Source organism: Homo sapiens, chromosome 14 (genome assembly GCF_000001405.40).
Source record: "Homo sapiens chromosome 14, GRCh38.p14 Primary Assembly".
Lineage (NCBI taxonomy): Eukaryota > Metazoa > Chordata > Mammalia > Primates > Hominidae > Homo > Homo sapiens.
In genome coordinates, this window is record NC_000014.9 from 47,545,927 (window position 1) to 47,569,632 (window position 23,706).

The 23,706-nt window shown below is 37.4% G+C and overlaps 1 protein-coding gene across 4 annotated transcripts in view, besides 2 other annotated features; it reads right to left on the reverse strand.

The window, feature by feature from the left end:
- MDGA2 (MAM domain containing glycosylphosphatidylinositol anchor 2) overlaps positions 1 to 23,706 on the reverse strand; it is an 835,983-nt gene that overhangs the window by 706,304 nt on the left and 105,973 nt on the right. The window lies entirely within an intron of this gene.
- Positions 19,460 to 19,961: an enhancer, noted in NCBI's record as "H3K4me1 hESC enhancer chr14:48034589-48035090 (GRCh37/hg19 assembly coordinates)". NCBI's record gives its function as "activates a minimal SCP1, AML or CMV promoter by ChIP-STARR-seq in naive and primed H9 embryonic stem cells {active_cell/tissue: H9 hESC(naive and primed)}" and the evidence as "EXISTENCE:reporter gene assay evidence [ECO:0000049][PMID:30033119]".
- Positions 19,962 to 20,461: an enhancer, noted in NCBI's record as "H3K4me1 hESC enhancer chr14:48035091-48035590 (GRCh37/hg19 assembly coordinates)". NCBI's record gives its function as "activates a minimal SCP1, AML or CMV promoter by ChIP-STARR-seq in primed H9 embryonic stem cells {active_cell/tissue: H9 hESC(primed)}" and the evidence as "EXISTENCE:reporter gene assay evidence [ECO:0000049][PMID:30033119]".

Sequence of the window (23,706 nt, forward strand, 5' to 3'; positions counted from 1 at the left end):
TGTTCATCTCAGTATGCAGTGCTGTGCTAAGCACTTTTGGGAAACATTTAGATGCTTTAAGCAGAATTTCTGCCTTTTAAATGACTGGTTTAATGGTGGAATGGAGAAAAAAGTACTGTATTTAGGAGAAAAACAAAACTATTATGCCAAGTAGTATATTGGTATGCTAAAATAAATCCAAACATAATTTTATGATAATTCAGAAGAAGAGAAGTTACAGATGGGGAGAAAAATACTTTATATAGAAGCTTCATTTTAACATGAACTTGGAAAACATGATTTAAGCAGAATGATATAGCTTAACAGGCATGAGAATCTAGTAAGGATAGGAAATAGAGACTAATAAGATACAGTGTGAGAGCAGCATGTAACTAGGTATGCTGCGAAGAAAGGAGTCCTGCTGGAAAACACTCAAGGGGGTCAGGTGGTTGCTCTGGGGAAAGATTAGAAGACACAGTTATTAATCAACTAATAATGTGGACTAATTTTGTGTAATATCCACACACATACAGGTATATGTTTACCTACAGAATCTACTCATCATAGTATTATTGAAGCAGGCTACAATATTTACTGAATATTGAATATGAAGAGAACCATCATATTTCTATGGGAAAACAAATTCAAGGACTGTATTTGGACCATCAGGAAGTAATTCCATACAAATGTAGAAGTTTTGCTTTGCCACTAACTCTATCCAAAGAACATGAGAAATGGAAAGGCTCCAAAATGAGACACACAGGAAAATCCCTTTGGTTTTGACCAGGGATCTGGCCATCAAAGAAGGGTTGTGGGAGCTCCAGAAACAGGGGCTGAGTGTCTGGGATTTCAAATTAATTTAAAACCTTGAGAATGTTTCTTGGTCTCTCTAGCTCCTGGGTTATTCCCTTTTTTACCTTCAGTGGATCTCCAGAAAGTCAGGGAGTTAAATCTTGTTCACTTTAGAGCCTGATGCCTAGAACAGTACCTGATTCATTTTAGGCACACAGTAAATGGAATGAATTAATGTTAAAGCTGTCAGTAACTTATTTTAACCAAGGTTATTTGTCCTCCATGATTCACAAAGGAACAAAACAAGTTGTTTTTTAAAAAAAATTATCCCCAGTGTATATTTTCCTGAAGCATGTTATTTAGGCCCATTCAGTTTTTAATGAGGGTGTCTCACATGAATTACCAAAAGGAAATCTAGACTAAAACAGCTCTACTTTAGTCCTAACCTAATTTTTTCATTATTGATAAGACAGTGACAGCACAACAAGATTGAATTAAGACTCTTCTATACATGAAAGAAAGACTGCATCCAGTATATACAGAAGAGGGCCAGGGCAACAATAAAAGGTAATGGGCAGAATTGCAGTCATCAGTTGCCACATGCATTCATTACAGGCTTTGAAACCTTTGAACACTAGCCCCTTGGTTTTTCATCCTTGCACCTCTATTTTGTATCACTGTTGGTGCTCAACAGAATCAAAAACTGAAGGGGAGATCCTAAGAACATGATTTCTCCAACTTCCTCATCTTCCTGTTTTCCTTTCCTAGGTTTTATGTGTTTCCATCCAGGGTTTGGTCTGAACGGAATACAAAGTTGGGAGGACAGGAGTTGGGAATCAGTCATGCCAAGTAAGGGTGACAGTCAGAGAAACTGGCTGCAGCTAAGAGAGAAATAGCATTTTTCACAGCTACTTGACATTCCCAGGTTTGCCCAGGTAAAAGCATAAAAGTTGCTTACTGCTTTATAAACTTCTTTCAAAGCCTAAAATATGTTAAACACAGAGATTCTCAAATAAGAAGTCTTGGATTTAAAATCTGGCTCTGTGCTTACTCTTGGTATGACCACGAACAAGTTAGTTAAATTCTATAACTGTAAATTCTGTAAAGCATCAATTGAGCATTTGTAAATGCATAAAAATTATATCCCTAGGTTTAGATGTGGTTGTTATTATTAAATACGATTAATCTAAAATCTTAACCATCTAGTTAAAATTAATAACAACTTAATTTCCATGCAAAAACTTTGATCCAATATAACTATGTTCGCCCCTCCCCTGCTTTCTGCTATTATTGTCACACAAATTACATCCTTATATATGATAAATCCACCAACCCAATTTCTAAAACTATACTGTTGCCTTTTAAATCAGATAAAAAAGTTACAAACTAAAATATATTTGTACTCTCTTTTACATGCATGTGTAGAGTAACTTTTACCTGCGTTCTTTATTACTTCATGTGGTCTCAGGTTACTGTCTAGAGCTCTCTCATTTAGTTTATTACATAGTTTCCTTTAGTTTGGTGAACATATGTAAAATAACTAACTTGAAGTCTTTCTCAATTGAACCCATCATCTGAACTTCCTCAAGAATAGTTTGTTTTGACTTTTTTTTTAAACCTCTGTATGAGCATTGCTTTCCTGTTTCTTGCGACTTTTTTTCTTTTTTTTTGGTTGAAAACGGGACAATTTAAGAAACAGATTCCTCCATCCCCATAGTTTGTTGTTGCTGCTGTTTGCTTAATGACTAATTTTTTTGCTTAAGGACTAATCCAGAAAGTCTATATACTTTGTTACATGCATCCATAGAAGTCTCTGCTTAGTTAGCATATGAGCAGCAAATGATGAGACAGAGATTTCTTAAATGCATTGAACCAGTAAGTTTCTTAGCTTTTGAATAGGAGCTCTCTGTGTGTATTGGAGGTGTGTTTTCAAAATTCTAACATTTAAAAACTGTCTTAGACTTCACTTCTTGTTTGTGCAAAGCCTCGAGATCAGTCAAGGGTGAGAAATTAAGGTCTTCTGAATTCCTTTCTGGGCATGCACACAACCCTGAATGTGGCCAGCGTGCACATGCCTGCGGCCTTCTAGATCTCCAGAAGTATGGCGGACATTATCATATCTCCTATGGTCTTCTCTTTCCTTAAATTGTCCTTTAAAGTTGTAGTCAGTCTATTGTTTGGCCCAAATGGTATCACTACTTCAGACAGCAACAATGTTCACAACTGCAGCTGAGGTTATTTATTTTTTTTCAACAAACTCCTGAGTGATAGGCCTTTCCTCACTGAATGAGCTCTACGTGAGGTAAAAAAACATAGAACTTGTGAATGGGGCTTTTTCAGGGATCTGCCAGACAGGTCAAATAGTGACAAATCAGTGAGGATGGAGTTTTTTGAGGGGTTCCAAATCTGTTGTCTCTCACCAATGGATGATACCCTGCTGGTTTCCATAGCTACTGCTTTCAGGAAGCTGCTGGTTGGTAAGGGAGAGTGGGATGAACATAGAGAAAGCAAAAAAATGCCACAAAGTTCTTTGCTCTTTTTGAAATTCAATGATTTTTCTCAAATAAATACTCTGGATTGTTGCAGCTTTTTGAGTTACTTCTAGAATTCTAAAAAAGTTCATGTTGATAGGTTTCACCAGTATTATCTCTCTCTCTCTCTCTCTCTCTCTCTCTGAAGAACAGTTTTTTTTGGAGGTCCTTTTTCCACCATTCCAGTGTGGTTCTCTCATGATGGCACTTTACTACCCAGAGTCAATGGTTTCTCTTAGTCTTCATCATTCTTTACTATCAGACTTTTCCTTTGGCTCTTATACTCTTATATTTTCAATATGCAAAGCATCAGCAATTCTACCTATTCCTTGGCTTTGCTGACTATTATGAACAAAATTAAGTTCCTTCCAAAATTCATAGGTTGGACCCCTAATATTCAATGTGACTGTATTTGGAGATATGGCCTATAAGAATGTAATTGAGGTTAAATGAGGTAATAAGGGTGAAGAGCCCTGATCTGATAGGACTGGTTGTCCTTATAAGCAGAGACACCAAAGAGCACTCTTTTGCTCTCATACTGCCAACCCTCCACATATGCATGCATTAAGGAAAGGCCCCATGAGCACACAGCAAGAAGGTGGCTGTCTATAAGCCAAGAAGAGAGCCCTCACCAGAAAGCGACTATGCTGCACCCTGATCTGCGACTTCTGGCCTCCAGAACTGTGAGACAATAATTTTGCTGTTGTTTAAGCCATTTAATCTGTGGTATTTTGTTATGGCAGCCCAAGCTGACAAACACAGCTACTATCCCCAAATCTCCTTCTCAACTCCTAAGCTCACTTGTGAATTGTTAGCATACTTTAAAAAAACTTCCTGCTGGGTATTGCTTCATTGATGTTCTTTTGTCCTCATGATTTCAACAAGTTCCAAAAAGAACTCATAACTAAATCAGTACCCCTGCCCCCACGTCTTTCCTAATTTGAGCTAATGATTCACACTCCCAGGTACTCAGGTTCATATACTCTAGTAAAGTTAATTTTATAAAATGTCTTTCAAAGATATTTAGTGACAATTTCTAAACTAGATATTTAAGGCTAAATAGCATTTTATTTTCTTTACTAGTGACTTCTTTGTGAATAAAATGATTATAATCCCACTGTGGCTGTGGCTATAGGATACAGTACAATATGTTTGGCAAACCACTTCAATATGTTAATATTCCTTCACTTATTTCGGAATCAACAGTATCAAGCATATAAAAGCCATACTCTATAAATATAAAACCACTATCACAGACACTGATATTGCAGAGAATGTGTATGTGACACTAAATGAGTCTACAGTACTGTTGAACAACCTATCAGTAGAGTAGATGATTTGGTGAAGAAAATCACAGAAATTCTTAGATGTTATGTAAGTTAATACATGATTCATTCACTGTTTTTTTTTTCACTTTTAAATTCACTATCCTGAAAAAAAGAAAAGACCAAATTCTTGTCTCACTATATGAGACTGCATCTTTGTAAACACTGCCCCTGCATTTAATAATAAAGCAGAATTCCTGAAATTATATGAATATTGCCAGATGGGACAATGGTTTTGCTTCTGTTACCAGTTATAATCAGTTCTGTTTAGGGGAATCTTATTTTTGATAACCGGGTAACACACAGGAAAACACTCCCTTGTTTAATTTAAAGAGCAGAGGTTGGCCCAGCATTCACACTGAGAGTGGCAGAGTCCAAGTCAAGTTGCGGCCACCAGGCTGAATTGATCTCTATGGAACATGTAGGAGGCAAACCAACCTAGCCTTTTTAAAGCACAAATAGAGTCTTATTAATTTACACTTTTGAAGGGCATTCATAAAGGTGAAAGTACTTATTAAAATGAGAAAGATATGTGTAATATTAATGTATTAGTATATATGTAAATATTAAGTTAAAATACAAATCAACTTTAATAATTGTTTAATATAATTAAGAGGATAATATTGTTTTTGATTAAAAAAATATTTTGAAATGCATAGCTCTAAATTCTGCCTCCAGACTGCTTAGGTAGGTGGTTTTCCTTTAGCCTTTTATCACAGACCAGCCTTTAACTTATTAGGGTGATTTCTGATGACCAGCTCAGAAATAACTGAAGCCTGTTCTTTGCCTGGGGATAAACACTTTTGCTTTCTATGCTTTTCTGTTCTATCAAAACATATCTACTGCATGCAGCTGCACTTCAGGCTAAATATCATGATGTTCTCACTTCTTCACACCATACCTAAATACAAACATATTGTTCTTCTGGGTTTCCATGAAACACCCTGACATTTTATTTAAATAAAGGATGTCCATGCCATCCTACATTAATAATTTCAACCTTTCCCCCAATTTGATCTCTTATTAATCACTGATAGACATCTCTGCATTATCAGACATTTTATATATCAATCCTGCATCTCCCAAGAATTCACACAAAATAAAAAGCAATAGAAATATTAATAGATGCAAAGCCAGGTCTCCCAAGACCTTAGTATTACATGTGGATATCTATTCCTTGACATATTGGAACACAAAACAAACAAGTTCAAAAGAATTTGTAGCCATATTTAAGAATTTTTTTTTTCATGTAATACTTACGAGGTACAAATCAATTCCCATTTGTCCTTTCCCGGTAGATCTTATCTTTATTATTTTTGGAGCGGTAAGAGGAAATTAATATATGTGAAAGAGGAAAGTGAAAAACAGTAGGAGAAATAACATCAACAATAGTATTTACAAAAGGACTCCAGTTATTTTTCTGTTTTCCAGCAAGAAAGGATACGTTATTTCTGAAAGATTTATGATCATTTGGGGCTTATTTTAAACCAGACTAAAAATAATATTTCAAGATATCAACTTTTCTAGTTTTCTTTCCTCCTCCCTTGCCATTTCATATTACCCTGCTTTTATCTCAATTCAGTGACCCTATATATTGTAGTTCTCCCAGGATTAGCCCTTGACCTTCATTTCTACTGTATAAGCACTCACTCTGCCAGAGATCTTACCTAGGTCCACAGACTTAAATACCACCTTTGACTGTCGTATGTATCCCTCCAGCCTCAAGCTTTCTTCTGAATTCCAGACCTGACTATCCAACTGTCTACTCAATGACTCCACCTGGATATTAAATGGGCATTTCCAAACTAGTATGTCCAAAACTGGCTTTGAGCTAAAGCTCTTCCACAGTTTAACCCTCCTTAGGAAATTGCAACTATGTCCTTTCCATTGTTCAGGCCAAAAATATTGAGGAAGTTCCTGAATACTTTCTCTTATACTACAGTATCCAATCTTTCAGCAAATCCTATTTATTATAATGTCAAAATACAGTTAGAATCTGATCACACCTCATAACTTCCACCACTTTTATAATGGTCCAAACCATCACCATCTTTTCACCCCTGAACTACAACAGCCTCCTAACTGGTCTTTTTCTTTCTCTCTGTTAAAAAAAAAATGTAAGAGAAAAAGTCAGATCATGTCACTCCTTTGGTAAAAACCCACCAATGGCTTTTTAAAAAATTTTAAATTCAAAGTAATAGTCAAATTTTTTCTTTCTTACTAAAAGCACAATAACATCTCTTACTACCCCTAATCTTGCCTTTTTTCAGTCTCCATGTGACTCCTTTGTATACCTCAAACACACTAAGCAAGCTCTTGCTACATCATCTTTGTACTTACGTTCCTTCCCCATGGATTGCTTTTCCCTCAGCTATCTGCTGGCTGGTTCCCTGACTTCGTTCAGATATTTACTCAAATATTACCCTCTCAGGAAGACTTTCACTCATCAACCTATTTTAAAAGGCAGCCCTAACCTAAGGCAGGCCTAACCTGAGGCAGGTCTAACCTGAGGCGGCCCTAACCTGAGGCGGCCCTAACCTGAGGCGGCCCTAACCTCTGCTTTGGCACTCTGTGCCACCTCGTTGATTTATTTTATCTATACATTTATTATCATCTGATGTACTGCATATTTATTGGCTTCTATTATCATTATCTAACTCTCCCCGCTAGAATGTGAACTTTCTGAGGGCAAAGAATTTTGTGTACTTTTTCACTGCTTCTGGCAACAAGAAAAGTGTTCGGCACAGAATAGATGTCTAAAAAACATTATAACTATGGCTATGACATGTGATGTCTAGAAATCAACTAGTATATTATGGTCAGTTCCTTGGAACTCCTTCTAGGCATTCAACAATTTCTATTATTATGTAACATGAATAGATAATTAACTTGTTAAGTAATATCTGAAATGAATTATATCTTTATTATTTATTTAATGTTTAAATAGCTAATTTTTTCAAATAATAGTGTGGACATTTGAAAGCTTTTGGAAAACACTAAAAGGTAAAAGAAAATGTCACCTCTATTTTAATGTTACTGACATTTTGAAATATTTATTCCTGATATTTTCCTACATATACATTGCATACATACAAGTATGTGTATACATATGTGTGTGACTGTAATGTATTTATATATGTGTGTATGTGTATATATACTTATAAAAACAATACTATAGGATATAGTTCATAATAGAAAAAATATGGCATAAAAGTATATATGTTGTCTTATATTTTATTGCATCTCTGAAACTTGCCAATATTTTGCACACGTTAGGTGTTCAATAAATATTTATCAGTAATGAAGATAATATCTAACTACCTATACTTTCCTAATAGCTAAGTCACAGGTGAAATGAAATGAAGCATTCTGTTTATTTTTCAGGTGGGAAAACAGCAGTTCTATGTATTTTCGTCTGGGTTTTGTTGTTTTAATCCTTCCTCCTTTCCCCGTCCACCCCCCGTTATCATTTAAGAAATCCATTTTCTTTCAATGAATGTTCAGTTGCTGAAATCACTCTCCATTATGGAAGAGCATTTGATTCTCTGGATGCCTATGTCCTGGATTTTGGCGTGGGAGTTCCATTAGAGGTGATATTGATTTGGGCTGTGTTCCTTTCTCTGAGCTGCAGTCTGCATTTGCCATCTGACTGTCTCTGATGATGAGTATATCACATACCTAGTAGTTTGTCTCTGTTTTATTTTCCAGAAAAGCAAATATATGGATATGAATTTTGCTGCTAGGAAAAATAACTTTGAAGATATTTTTTGAAATGCATGTTTGTTCGTTTTCTCTTATGTTTTTGTGTGATGCACTCAAATAATGGCAAAACCTTGAAAAATTATCTTGTCTTCAGAGACTACCCTGACAACATAAGAACTAACTCATTCTGGATGAATGAATATCTGGTGGATAGGAATACTAAACAGCTTAGAAGTTGGTAATAATTCTTGGGAAAATTTCCAAAGAACAGGGTAATTTTATTACTAGTACATTTTTTAATAAATCTGTTTCCCTAATTGTATTCATGATAAATAATTTTTAATGTTACGTGTTTTGTTTGAATAATGAGTTGATCCAATTTCCTAATTTTAATGACAAAAAATAGTTTTCCATTTCACCTAAGAGTCTCTGGTTGAGACTGGACTCTTTCTATTCTAATCCACTACCTCTAAACTTTGGTTACATTCAAATACAGAGTCTTAGAAGACTTAGAATACAGAGTCTTTACACTTTGGCTTTAGCAATCACTTCCTTCAAATGCTTTCTTTTATCAGTGTGGAAACTGAGAACAAAAGTTATTCACCACTAGCTGTTATGGACCTATCTGACCTCTCTTTTCCTTATTCCCATATTTCTCTTTTCTAATTTTTCCCAGTGGAGTTACAGAATAAGGCAAAGTCCAGACAAGCAAATAAGTTCAACTAAGCCAAAATGACATTCTGAATCCTGAGTTGTGGCCTATAAACGTTATGGGAAAGGAGATTATTAGAACAGAATGGCTACCTTTGTCAAAGTACAAGCTGGCAACAAGAGATACAATTCCTATTGTGTGTGTTCTCACTGACCAAAAAAAAAGCATTACCAATGCTTTCTCTGGCTTTCTTAGTCAAGTTGAAGGCAAATATCTCTCCAATATTTTTAACCAAGGTCGTACAACTATCTAGCAGTAGTACTAGAATTAGAACTCAGAAACTTTGATTTTCATTGCTTTATATTCAACAATGCTGCAACTTTCTCAGTCACTGGAGTCTCATTCTTATAAGAACTGAGAGTGTGTGGCTGTGGAGAGTTTGTAAGTTGTGTATAAGAGAGACTGATGAAACTGGACATAGAATGGAACTAAGACTATACACTCCTGAGTCTGGGAAAGACACAGCATTTTATTCTGACCAATATGTGTGCTGGGGATATTTGATGATGCCATACTCAGTGTTGTCATTAAGTTGCCATGTATGTTCAACTTAAAGTCATAATCATCCCATATCCTCAGAAGGAAGACTCAAGAGGCAGGAATGTAAGTAACAATCCACCACAATCATATTTTTAAGAGTTAAAAATATTTACACTGCAAGAGACATTTTCCCAGAAAAATGAAGATAAGAAAATAGAGCAATAGTGAATCAGCAAAAATTAGTCACTAGATCTTCTCCACCTCCCACAATTAAATAATTAAGTTGACAAAAACTCCACTAGATTTCATTTAAACTGCTCCTTCTATCTTCAGTCTCTTCTATCCATCTCGACCCTTTGGTAATTATTTTTTCCACAAACACAACTCTATCATTTACCTTCCTTTCCATGTAAGCCCTGCTTGTAAACCCTAAGAAAGCTCCTCCATCCCCCTAGCCATCAGTGAGAGCAAACTGGTTCTTCAAACAGGCTGCAAACAAACAAAATTGTTGCTTGGGCTTTAAAGTTTCCTTTGCTTAAAAGTTTTGACATTTCTGAATTTAGGGCCTATCTTGAGCTAGGTTCTTAACATTCACTCTTACTGAGTGACTCCCTTCCAGACACCTGACCCCCAGTTCTTTTGCTCAAGCTTTTCTGGCTATATTCGGGTGGGTAGCTTCACTCAAATTTCCCAGCATCAGACCTTAGGTTGTGCCTGGCTTCTAAGTTGGTTCTGTCATTGCAAGTGACACATAGCACAGCTTATAGGACTCTGTTGCCCACTTAATCAAACACAAACTCCAGACAGTGACATTTAAGACTCCACAATCTGATCTATCCCAACTATCAGAACCTGTAATTAATTGCCTCTTCAATTCTCTCCAGACATCTGCAAAAGTCATTCCAAATCCTGCCCAATACATTCCCACTCCTGATCCTTTCTTCACACAATCCCCTGGGTCAGGAATGATCTTCTCAGAAATTCATCTGCACTTGTTAGAATTCTATGTATTTTCCAAGGTTGCATTTTAAAGACAATTTTTCTGGATTACAGCCAGAAGTAAACTCAGCTTCCAAAATTTCATCACCTTGAGCAGAACAACAGAGAAACTAGATTATGTAAGTTTGGATCCCTAATACACCAGCTGGAACAGCCTGGTCAAGTTAAGTTTCTTTAACCTTTGCATCCCAGTCTGCAGAATGGAGAAAATAATAGTTGCAACTTCATACAGTTATTGTAAAATTATCTGAGTTTAAAATGAAAAGTGCCTGGCATATAATACAAGCTCAGTAAATAGTTGCTATTATAGCTCTATGGCACTTTTACTAAAATAAAACTAAAACGTTTAATTGGTACAGTTCCTCGCTCCTTCTGTAAGCTTTTCTGGGATGTTTAGTATCTTTATGTGGTGTTTGATTATTTGCTAAAATTTCTGCATTAAAAAATTTAATGCACACAATAGCTCTGTAATCGAGGATTTCTCCCCAGTTTGCTAATAAAGAAAAGACTGAGAGACAAAGTGATTGATCCAAAGACACATGTATCCAGTGAATGCCACACTCTCTGACACTAGCCTCAGCAAGCTCCACAATGGCATAGCTTCTTTGGGAGGGAACAACCATGCATTTGGAATCTTTCCATTCCCCAGGGCGCATAGTTCATTTTATTTTTGTAGAAAGTAGGTACATAATACACATTTCACAAATTATTATTCAGGAGTAAAATTGAACTATCCCCAGAATGACTGTGTTTCCTGGACTAATTTAACCAAGGAAGAAAAATGGCACTATAAGGGAGGCAAGATTTACAAATCTAATGGAAGTAAAATTTACAGAACTTTGAGGATGGACACGTTTTAGTATTCAAATGATTCTAAAGATCATGATAAAATCAGGAACATGTCAGAAATTGGTGTGTCATTTTATCTCTGGGAAAATTTAAGGGTGTAATTTGCAATTATAAAATAAATAGGTTTGGTTCTACAGTTCCTTAGGTCTACAGAACATCCCAGTAGTCTAGGCTGACAAATCAATTGTGAGAAAAGACCCTTTCATGACAGGTCTTTAAGAACCAGAGAAAGTGAGAGATTTCCAACATCTGGTAGGAAAGGGAGGGGAGGCAGATACAATGTTAAAAAGCTTGAGTCAACATTCAACAGTTCAAAATGGAGAAAAATTTTCACAAATGTTATATTGCATCAAACTAAATCCATTTCTCAATCAAAAACCTTTTACTAAGTACCTGCTATATGGCATCATGTTCTACGTCAGGCACTATAGATATAATGTGAATAAAAGATTTGTTAGGAATAGTATCCTTAGCCCTATGTCTATAACTTGTATTATAAATGTATATGATTGACTTATGAGTCATCTTTAACAAACATTTGATTTGGCCTCCCTTTATTAATTTGTACATTCAAAACTCACCTCTCCACATTGTTATATAAAAGAGCTTCAAACAGATCCATAAGATGGGTAAATAGATTTTTGGATTATCCACATTTGTCATTATAAATACTTCACTTATCTTACATAGTTGAGATATCAGTGTGAATAGTCTACTTTCTAATAAATATGAGTCATCATGACTTTAAAAAGTAGAATCCTGTGGAATAGTCGACAGTGAAAATGAAGGCAAGTGGGGAGTGTGGCAGGAAGAAGGTATGACTGACACCATAATGCCAGAGCACCTAGAAAAAAAGACTATGGTTGGGTGAAGACTCTATTCCCATCTATGCCTATGGATACAAATGTAATGTTTTCTAAAAATAACATTACTCTTCAAACAGTATCCAATCCTGGTTTAAAATAACCTGTGATAGGGTTGGGCAGGGGTAAGAAAAGAATTAGTCCACTTTGATATCCTGGAGAAATTTTAGGTCTAGGCTAATATAATGCTAGTTTTGATTTTAACCCAGCATCTGGAGGAAGTTATATTTTCAATATAAAAGTAATGCTTACTGAAAATGACTGACTCACTCTGCAGTTTTCTGGGGGAGTACATTATTTGTACCTCAACAAATGAAGAACAACAGTCAAGTTTCCAAAAATAATAAGTAAACATCTCTGGATTTCAGAAATAAATAAGTGATGTAAATTGACAAAATAAAACAGGCTTTTAAGTAGTGGATTTCATAATTAGCCTCTGCTTTCAGGGAGAGCACACGTGCACATCCTCTTTGTCCATCTTGACAAGTTTTCTGCCTTTTATGAAATAACTGTTTCCTGCCAGTCAATGAAAACATGCTTATCCTTTTTATAAGTGCATATAAATTTAACCCTTTCACCAAGGGCAGAGAAGAAATAGATATTAAATAATGACAATTATAATAAAATCTTGGGGGTGTATTTATGATGAGAAATGATTATTTTTAACAATAGAGCTTCTCACAGAATGCTGATTAGATAATTTTCTATCATTCCTGTTTGATTTTTTTAAAGAAGTAAAATAGGCAGCTATAATCTGTAAATTTTATATTTTCTTTAAAATTTGAATATATACATACGATACACATATGATTCTGCAAAAGAGCTTTATATTAAATTGTTTGAGATTTTATACAGGAGTCTCAAATAATAAAGTACTTTAAAACATTAATCAATAAGACCTTAGATGAAAAGTTGAGATGAATTTTTAATCTTTTTTTAAACTTTTAGGTTCAAGGGTACACGTGCAGATTTATTACATAGGTAAATTGCGTGTTGCAAGGGTTTGGTGTATAGATTATTTTTTCACCCAGGTAATAAGCATAGTACACGGCAGACAGTTTTTCAATCTTCACCCTCCTCCCTCCCTCTACCATCAAGTAGGTCCCAGTAGTCTGTTGTTCCCTTCTTTGTGTCCATATATACTTGATGTTTAGCTGTGGTTTATAAGAGCAAGTGGTATTTGGTTTTCTGTTGCTGTGTTAGTTCACTTAGGATAATGGCTTCCAGCTCCATCCATGTTCCTCCTGCAAAGCGCAAAGGACATGATCTTGTTCTTTTTTATGGCTATTCTATGGTGTATATGCATCACATTTTCTTTATCCATTCTACTATTCATGGGCATTTGGGTTAATCTCGTGTCTTTGCTACTGTGAATGGTGCTGTGATGAACATATGAGTACAAGTTTTTTTTTCTTTTCTTTTTTTTTTTTTTTAGACAAAGTCTCACTCTGTCGCCCAGGCTGGAGTGCAATGGCACGATCTTGGCTCACTGCAACCCCCGCCTCCCGGGTTCAAGCAATTCTCCTACCTCAGCCTCCCGAGTAGCTAGGATTACAGGTGCCCACCACCACGCCCAGCTAATTTTTGTATTTTTAGCAGAGACGAAGTTTCACCATGTTGGTCAGGCTGGTCTCAAACTCCTGACCTCAGGTGATCCACCCGCCTAGGCCTCCCAAAGTGCTGGGATTACAGGCATGAGCCACCATGCCCAGCCAAGTATTTTTATGGTGGAATGATTTATATTCCTTTGGGAATATATGCAGTAATGGGATTGCTGGGTCAAATGGCACGTCTAAGTTCTTTGAAAAATCGCAACATTGTTTTCCACAATGGCTGAACTAATTTACACTTCTGCCAACAGTGAATAAGTGTTCCCTTTTCTCTGCAACCTCACTGGCATCTGTTATCTTAGGATTTTTTTTTTTTTTAGACGGAGTCTCGTTCTGTCGCCCAGCCTGGAGTGCAGTGGTGCTATCTCGGGTCACTGCAAGCTCCACCTCCCGGGTTCACGCCATTCTCCTGCGTCAGCCTTCCGAGTAGCTGGGACTACAGGCGCCCGCCACCACGCCCGACTAATTTTTTTTTTGCATTTTTAGTAGAAACGGGGTTTCACCGTGTTAGCCAGGATGGTCTCGACCTCCTGACCTCGTGATCTGCCCGCCTCGGCCTCCCAAAGTGCTGGGATTACAGGCGTTAGCCACCGCGCCCAGCCTATTTTAGGATTTTTTAATAATAGGCTTTCTGACTGTTGTGAGGTGGTATCTCATTGTGGTTTTGATTTGCATTTCTCTTATAATTAGTGATATTGAGCATTTTTCATGTTTCTTGGTCATGTTTATGTCTTCTTTTGAAAAGTGTCTGTTCATGTCCTTGGCCCGCTTTTTAATGTGGTTGTTTGTTTTTTGCTTGTAAATTTGCTTTGTAAAGTTGCTTATAGATTCTGGATATTAGACCTTTGTCAGGTGCACAGTTTGCAAATATTTTTCTCTTATTCTGTAGGCTGTTTACTCTGTTGATAGTTTCTTTTGCTGTGCAGAAGCTCTTTAGTTTAATTAGATCCTAGTTGTCAATTTTTGTTTTTGTTGAAATTGCTTTTGGCATCTTCATCATGAAATCTTTGCCAGGTCCTATATCCTAGGTAATCCTCCAAGGTTTTCACAGTTTTAGGTTTTACATTTAAGTTGTTAGTACATCTTGAATTGATTTTTTATATATGGGGTAAGGAAGGGGTTCAGTTTCAATCTTCTGCATTTGGCTAGCCAATTATCCCAGCATCATTTATTGAATACAGAATTTTTCTCCATTGCTTGTTTTTGTCAATTTTGTTGAAGATTTGATGGTTATAGGTGTGCAGCATTATTTCTGGGCCCTCTATTCTGTTCCATTGTTCTGCATGTCTGATTCTGTATTGTGCCACGCTATTTTGGTTACTTTGGCCCTATAGTATAGTTTGAAATAGGCTAGCATGATACCTCTATCTTTGTTTTTTTTTTTGTTTTGTTTTGTTTTTTTGTTTGTTTGTTTTTTTTTGCTTAGGATTGCCTTAACTAATCTGGCTCTTTTTTGTTTCCATATCAATTTTAAAATAGTTTGTTCTAGTTTTGTGAAGAATGTCATTGGTAGTTTTACAGAAATAGCATTGAATCTGTAAATTACTTTGGGCAGCATAGCCATTTTAACGATATTGAATCTTCCCATCCATGAGCATGGAATGTTTTCCTAATTGTTCATATCGCTGATTCCTTTCAGCAGTGTTTTGTAATTGTCATTATAGAGATCCCTCACCTCCCCGGTTAACTGTATTCTTAGTTATTTTATTCTTTTTCTAAGTTTTGTGAGTGGGATTACATTCTTGATTTGGCTCCCAGCTTGCACGTTGTTGGTGTATGGGAATGCTACTGATTTATGTACATTGATTTTGTCCTGAAACTTTGCTGAAGTTGTTTATCCAGTCAAGGAGCTTTTGGGCAGAGACCATGGGGTTTTCTAGGTGTTGAATCATATAGTCTGCAAACAGGAATAGTTTGACTTCCTCTCTTCCTATTTTGATGCCTTTTGTTTCTTTACCTTGCTTGATTGCACTGTCCAGGACTTGCAGTACTATGTTGAACAGGAGTGGTGAGGGAGGACATCCTTGTCTTGTTCCAGTTTTGAAGGGGAATATTTCTAGCTTTTGCCCATTTAGCATGATGTTAGCTGTAAATCTGTCATAGATGGCTCTTATTATTTTAAAGTATATTCCTTCAATGCCTAGTTTGTTGAGGGTTTTTAACATGAGGAGATGTTGAAATTTACCAAAAACCTTTTCCACATCTATTAAGATGATCATGTGATTTTTGTTTTTAGTTCTGTCTACAGGATAAATCCCATTTACTGATTTGCAAATATTGAACCAACTTTGCATCCCACGGATAAAGTCTACTTCATCATGGTAGATTAACTTCTTCATGTGTTGCTGGATTCAGTTTGGTAGTATTTTGTTGAGGGTTTTGGCATCTAAGTTCTTCAAGGATAGCAGCCTGAAGTTGTATTTTTTTGTTGTTGTGTCTGCCAGGTTTTGGTATCAGCATGGTGCTGGCCTCATAGAGTGAGTTAGGGAGGATTCCCTCCTTCTCAATGTTTTGGAATAGTTTCAGTAGGAATGGTACTAGATCTTCTTGATACAGCTGGCAGAATTTGGTTGTAAATCCATCTTGTCCTGGGAGTTTGTTTGTTTGTTTGGTTGGTTGGCAGGCTTTTTATTACTGATTCAATATCAGAACTCATTATTGGTATCCAGGGATTCTATTTCTTCCTGGTTCAGTCTTGGAAGGTTGTGTGTGTCCAGGAATTCATCAGTTTCTTCTAGGTTTTCTAGCTTGTGTGCACTGAGGTGTTCATCACAGCCTCTGAGGATTTTTGTATTTCTGGGGGATTGGTGGTAATGTCTCATGTTTTATTTCCGATTACGTTTAGTTGAATCTTTTTTCCTTTATTGGTCTAGCTAGTGTTCTGTTTATCTTAATTTTCTCAAAAAGCAAAGTCCTGAATTTGTTGCTTTGGTGTGGGTTTTTGCATTTCAATTTCCTTCAGTTCAACTTTGATTTTGGTTGTTTCTTGTCTTCTGCTAGCTTTGGGGTTGGTTTGCTCTTGTTTCTCCAATTCCTCCACTTGTGATGTTAGGTTGTTAATTTGAGACTCTGCTATCTTTTTTTGGTGGGAGTTTAGTGCTATAAATGTCCGTCTTAACACTGCCTTAGCTGTGTCCCAGTAATGCTGGTATATTGTATCTTATCGTTGTTCTCATTAATTTTAAAGAATTTCTTGATCTCTGCCTTAATCTCATTATTTACTCAAAAGTCATTCAGGAGCAGGCTGTTGAATTTCCATATAATGTTATGGTTTTGAGTCATTTTTTTAGTATCAATTTCTATTTCCATTGCATTGTGGTCTGAAAGCATGGTTGGTATGATTTCATTTTTTTAAAAAAAAATTTCTGAGGATTGCTTGATGTCTGATTATGTGATTAATTTTACAATATGTGTTATGTGCAGATAAGAGGAATGTATATTCTGTTGTTTTTGGGTGGAGTGTTCTTTAGATGTCTATTAGGTCAATTTTGTCAAATGTCAAATTCAGGCCCTGAATATTTTTGTTAGTTTTCTGCCTCAATGATCTGTAATACTGTCAATGGGCATGCTGCAGTCTCCCACTATTATTTTGTAGTGACCTAAGTATCTTCATAGGTTTCTAAGAACTTGCTTTATGAATCTGGGTGCTCCTGTGTTAGGTGCATATATATTTAGGATGGTTAGTTAGGTCTTCCTGTTGAATTTATTCCTTTACTATTAAGCAATGCCCTTCTTCACCTTTAAAAAAATTTTTGTTGGTTTAAAGTCTGTTTTGTCTGAAATTAGAATAGCAACCCCTGCTTTTTTCTGTTTTTTTTTTTTTTTTTTTTTTTTTTTTTTTGCTTGGTAGATTTTTTTTTTCCATCTCTTTACTTTGAGCCTATGATGTCACCACACGTGAGATGGGTCTCACATACCACTGAATCTTGCTTTTTTATCCAACTTGCCATTCTGTGCCTTTTAATTGGGCCATTTAGCCCCTTTAAATTAAAAGTTAATATCGATATATACAGATTTGTTCCTGTCATCATGTTGTTAGCTGGTTATCATGCAGACTTGTTTGTGTGGTTGCTTTATGGTATCACTGGTTTATGTACTGTATGTGTTTTTGTAGCAGTGAGTAATGTTCTTTCCCTTCCATGTTTAGCACTCCCCTCAGGATCTCTTGCAAGACAATTCTAGTGGTATTGAAATCCTTTAGCACTTGCTTGTCTGAAAAGAATCTTATTTCTCTCCACTTATGAAGCTTAGTTTGGCTGTTTGTGAAATTATTGGTTGGAAACTATTTTCTTCAAGAATGATGAATATAGGCCCTCATCTCTTTTGGCTTGTAGGTTTTCTGCTAAAAGGTCCACTGTTAGCCTGATGGGGTTCCCTTTGTAGGTGGCTGCCCCTTCTCTCTAGCTGTCTTTAACATTTTTTCTTTCACTTTGACCTTGGAGAATCTGATGACTATATGTCTTGGGGATGGTCTTTTGTAGTATTTCACATGGGTTCTCTGCATTTTCTGAATTTGACTGTTGATGTATTAGTCTGTTTCCATGCTGCTGACAAAGGCATACCTGAGGCTGGGCAATTTGCTAAAGAAAGAGGCTTAATCTACTTATGGTTCCACGAGGCTGGGGAAGCCTCACAATCATGGTGGAAGGCAAGGAAGAGCAGGTCACGTCTTTCACAGATGGCAGCAGGCAAAGAGAGCCAAGCAAAAGGGGTTTCTCCTTATAAAACCCTCAAATCTCAGGAGAATTATTCACTACCATGAAAGCAGTATGGCAGAAATTGCTCCCATGATTTAATTATCTCCCACCAGGTCCCTCCCACATGTGAGAATTATGGAAGTTCAATTCAAGATCAGATTTGGGTGGGGACACAGAGCCAAACCATATCAGCTGGCGTCTGTAGTGAGGAAATTTTCATGAACAATATACTGAAATATGTTGTCCACATTGCTTGTTTTCTCTCCCTCTCTGTCGGGGATGTCAATGAGTCACAGATTTGGTCTCTTTACATCATCCAATATTTCTCAGAGGTTTTGTTCATTCTTCTTTATTCTTTATTTTTTGTCTCACTGAGTTATTGAGGAGAGCTGGTCTTCAAGCTCTGAGATTCTTTCCTCAGCTTGGTGGATTTTGCTGTTAATACCTGTGATTGTATTTTGAAATTCTTGTTGAGTTTTTCAACTCCATCAGCTCAGTTTGGCTCTTTCTTAAAATGGCCACTTTTTTTTTTCTCATCTCCTGTATAGTTTTATTGTATTCTGTAGAATCCTTGGATTGGGTTTCAACTCTTTCCTGGATGTTGATTATCTTTGCTCCTATCTGTATTCTGAATTCTGTTTTGGTTATTTCAGCCATTTCAGCCTAGTTAAGAACCACTGCTCTGGGGAAGTAGTGCAGTCATTTGGAGGTGAGAAGACTCTCTTGCTTTTTGAGTTGCCAGAGTTCTTGTGCTGGTTCTTTCTCATTGTGTGGGCTGATGTTCCTTCAATCTTTCAAGTTGCTGCCTTTTGGATTGTTGTTGTTATTTTGTTTTGTTTTGTTTGCTTTTCTATCTTCTTTGATGTCCTTGGCAGTTTGATTGTGGCATAAGGTAGGTCCAGTTGACTGGCTTTGTTTCTTGTAGGTTTTTGAGGGCCAAGGTTCAGCTCAGTATTATTGGGCTGTGTACTTTAACTTTGGGGGGCTGTTATCAGGCCCCCAGCTTTGTTCTCTGGCTGGAGGTTGGAAACCTGCTGAGCTGGAGGGGCCGAGTGAGTCCGCATTCCCAAACCGTTGGTCACAATTCTCTGAGGGTGGTGCCAGACAAAGTTCTTTGTTGAGTAGTAGCAGCAGGATCTGACTTCCTTGCTTCTTGTGCCACCAGTTGTGGCCATACGACAGAGTGCATGCTCATTGGATGGGGTGAGATTCTGGTGGGTCCTGGGCACCAGTCTCCATAAGGTTGTTGGCAGTGGTGGCATAGGCAGCCCTGGGGGCTGAATCCACTGGGGTCCATGTGCACACATTCATACCCATGGCCGTGCTGGCATGGGGACAGGGCACTGGCAGGTGTAGGGCTGGCAATTTCTGTCCAGGTGTTCGTGCCAGCAGCTGTGACAATGTGGGGCAGGGAATGGGGGTGCGGATGTCCTTGTGTTCATTCACTCTGGCAGCAATGGTAGTTTGGAGTGGGGGTGGTGTTGCTGGTGTCTGTGCATGTGTTTGCGCCAGCAATGGCAGCATCGTGATGCAGGGCAGGTGGTGCACTCACAACAGCAGCAATGGCATGGTGGGTGCACATACATCCACATGCCAGCAGGGAAGGAGAGGCAAGGTTTGCCTGCACATATGCACACAAGCAAAGTGATGGGTGATGACTGTGGATGAGTGTGTGCCAGTGAAGTAACACGGGCAGCTGTGGTGGAAGAAGGACATGTGTAGGCTGGTGTGTGTCAGCAAGGGCTGCTCTACTAGAGCTCTCTGATGGTAAGGTATGGTCTGCTAGTACAGGAGCTATGATGTATGCCCTTGAAAGGCACCTCAATTGGGCATCCAAGGCTGTACAGCAAGCAGGCACATCCAGGCTGGGATCCCAGGAGAGGTCAGCAGACAGAAGCATGCTCAGGTCAGACTGGCCCTGTCTCACAGGCAAGATCACCCTGGTCTCTTCAGGTCTGACAGTTCACTTAAAGCTAGAGTATCCCAGGGGAGCAAGGCAATCCTAGGAGATGAATGTCCCTGGATGTGCTCCCTGGCACATGTTCCCACATTAAACCCTCTGGGCTGCACACATGCTGGAGTCTTGCACTTGTCACTTCTCTAAGTAGCTCTTCCTGCCAGTTTCCCTCAAGTTTCCATGGGGGTTGGGGAGACTTCTCCTGCCAGGGTTCCAGAGGTCTGTGCATGAGCAGGTTGCACCATGCCTGCTTAACACACTCATTCCCCAGGAGTCACTGGGGGCCAGGAACTAGTCCTAGTATGTGGTAGCCCCTTGCAGAGTTCCCAGCTTCCTCCCTCTTCAGCCCAGCATCTGTGTCCTCCCTCTGTCCACTCTCAATGCCTTCCGTGTGCAGATCTGCTTGGAGTATGCTAGTCTTCCTGGTGTCCCAGTTCCTTGGTGGTAGACTCTCCTCCTTGTTGCATCTAGTCATCCATCTTCCTTTTTTTTTTTCTTTTTTTTGAGAGAAGGTTTTGCTCTGTTGCCAAGATTGAAATGCAGTGGCGTGATCACAGCACATTGCAGCCTCAAACTCCTGGAAGTGATCTTCCTGCCTCAGCATCCTGAGTAAATCAGACTACAGGCATGTGCCACTACGCCCAGCTATCTTTTTTTAATTTTTGTAGAGATGGGGTCTCACTATATTGCCCAGGTTGGAACTCATGGGCTCAAGTGATCCTCCCACCTCAGCCTCCCAAAGTGCTGGGACTATAGGCCTGAGTCATCATGCCCAGCCCAATAAAGTATTATTTTAAAATATTTTAGAAGATATCCATCCAAACATCTATCATATGTAATTATTTGCAATTCATGTTTATTATAGAACCTGTGACAAAAAGTATCTGTAATGGAATAAGATGGTAAGCTTTACTTATGGCAAGCTAAAATGAGGAACATAACAACTGAAGGAAAAACACTTATCATACATTATCCTAGAAATGCTACATGTTGAATGACACACTCTAGCAACCATTCAACATTTGCTTGCCCAAACAAGCAGCAATACTGTTTGTCTAGAAACTAAATTTCATCTTTCTGAGCTCATTCCAACTATGACAGAGAATGCCTTCATATGCAAAACACTTGTAGGTAAGGTAAAATTAAGTCTTCCATTATGAGATCCAGTGTCTACAGCATTTGTGGGAGGGCTGAACACATGCTCTTCTGGGGTAGCTGCTATCATCTGCATTTGCTTGACCCAGAAAATGCCTAGACTTCCAATTCCACTTCCCTAACACCCCTGTTTCTTATTGGGCCAGGGAACCTGATCTAAGAGTGTTCCACTAAACTAAGGCCTTAACTCTATGTATAGTTTTTGTTTATTTTGATTTTAACATTCACCTCATCAACAAAAAGTACAAAATTTTATTTGTTGTACTTCCAGGCATGGCTGAAATTCACTATGAATTGTCAGATTGTCTAAAACCTCGTATTCCTCTGCTTGCTGGCATGTTCCAAACACCTGGATATGTTTTTGGACGTTCTGGGCTACTCCCATGCTAGCTCCCAATAAGAATCTAGCCTTACAGGTTTCCTGGGCTCACTCCCATGTGTCCACTAAATCCCATTTTCCTTCTTTTCTTCATTAGTCAGTACTGCTGGGGCCCTAATAATATGGATTATGTTCCAGCTTGCCTGAATTATGACACAGCGAGGTTATTAAAGTTAGAAGTTTTAAAATCACATGTGGATTTTATGGAACTCATGCTGTCTATATAGACTAAAGTCATCAACCAACTGCTGTTCTGGGGGATTTTACTCCAGTACCGCAAGTAAGAATGTTAAAGCTCTTCAGCATCCCTTATTCCTGTCCACTTAAAGCATTCATCAGCAGTCATTCTTTTAATATAACATATAAAACTTAATGAATCATACAAATATAACAAAATGCAGTTATTTTGGAATTCATTTTTTGACAAGTACAACTAAATACTGAATATGACTGCATGGACTACGGATTAATAACCAATTTTTAGCAAAAATACATCACCAAGATAAAAGAGCATTTTCTTCACAGTAAAGAGAAATTTCAAATATGTCTTTAGAGAAGGTGGCATGGATGATTTACACCACTTAAAGTCTGTTTAACTGATCATTTATTCCAATTTAAATTTCATAGATATTGCCCCAAACACTATTAAGCTTATATTTTCTAAGGAGAATAAAGTTAAAGAGTATTTAAATAATTTCTGTTAAGAAATATTTGTAGATTGGTAAAATTATCTTTCTGCCAATCGTTATAGTCTATAAAAAATAATCCTGTTATATTGTAAATTGTTGCTGGGGTCAGAATATTTTTTAATGCAGAATTTTTTTCATGATCAACTTTTGATGACATTTACTTTGCTGGCTATAAAACATGTACTTCCAATTTTTTTTTAAGTTTGCACTGATGTTTATGAAGTAAGCTTCTATTTGGAGAGTTTTTAACTTTCTTTTGGTAGGGTAATTTCTTCCCTCACATCTTACTAAAACATAAAATTAATGTCTTTTTTTTTTTTAACAGAGTCTCAGTATGTTGCCCAGGCTGGTTTTGAACTTACTATCACATTTATTGTCATTTTTGATATAAAATCGGCTGATTACTGAAATAAATAATATATCTAACCTTGTGGAGTTTTTTGTTTTTAATACCTTTATTTGCTTTTCAAAATAACACTCTCTGTCAGCACCATAAGACAGGGTGAGAAAAAAACAAAACAAAATTCAACTCTTTGATAATCAGAGATCTTATATAAAAACTAAGGTTGAAACTCACATTAATACTGGATTATGAAATAATATGTGTTTTTAGTGTCCAGGGCCAAAATCTAATAATCATTCTCCTCATTTTAATCCACAATTTTGTTCATGCATCTTCCCCACAACTGCCTCCAGGGGATGGATCTTGAGTACTGCTGGCTTGCACCAGTGCATGGCATTAACATGGCAACTGCAGTTAATCTGGTCCAGTCAGGTTAAAAAAATTATTTACATTTCGTGATTGGGGAACAGATTTTCTGTCTCTCATTGACTATGAAGAAAAACCCAACACAGTCCCAGGTCAAGTTCTCAGCCATCTTGCAAGCACAATGGAAACCAGCCAAAGGAAGAAACTATACACCAAAAATGGTAGGGCAGTAAGTAGAGAGGTCCTGATGCTATGGTTCAGTCAACAATCAATTATCG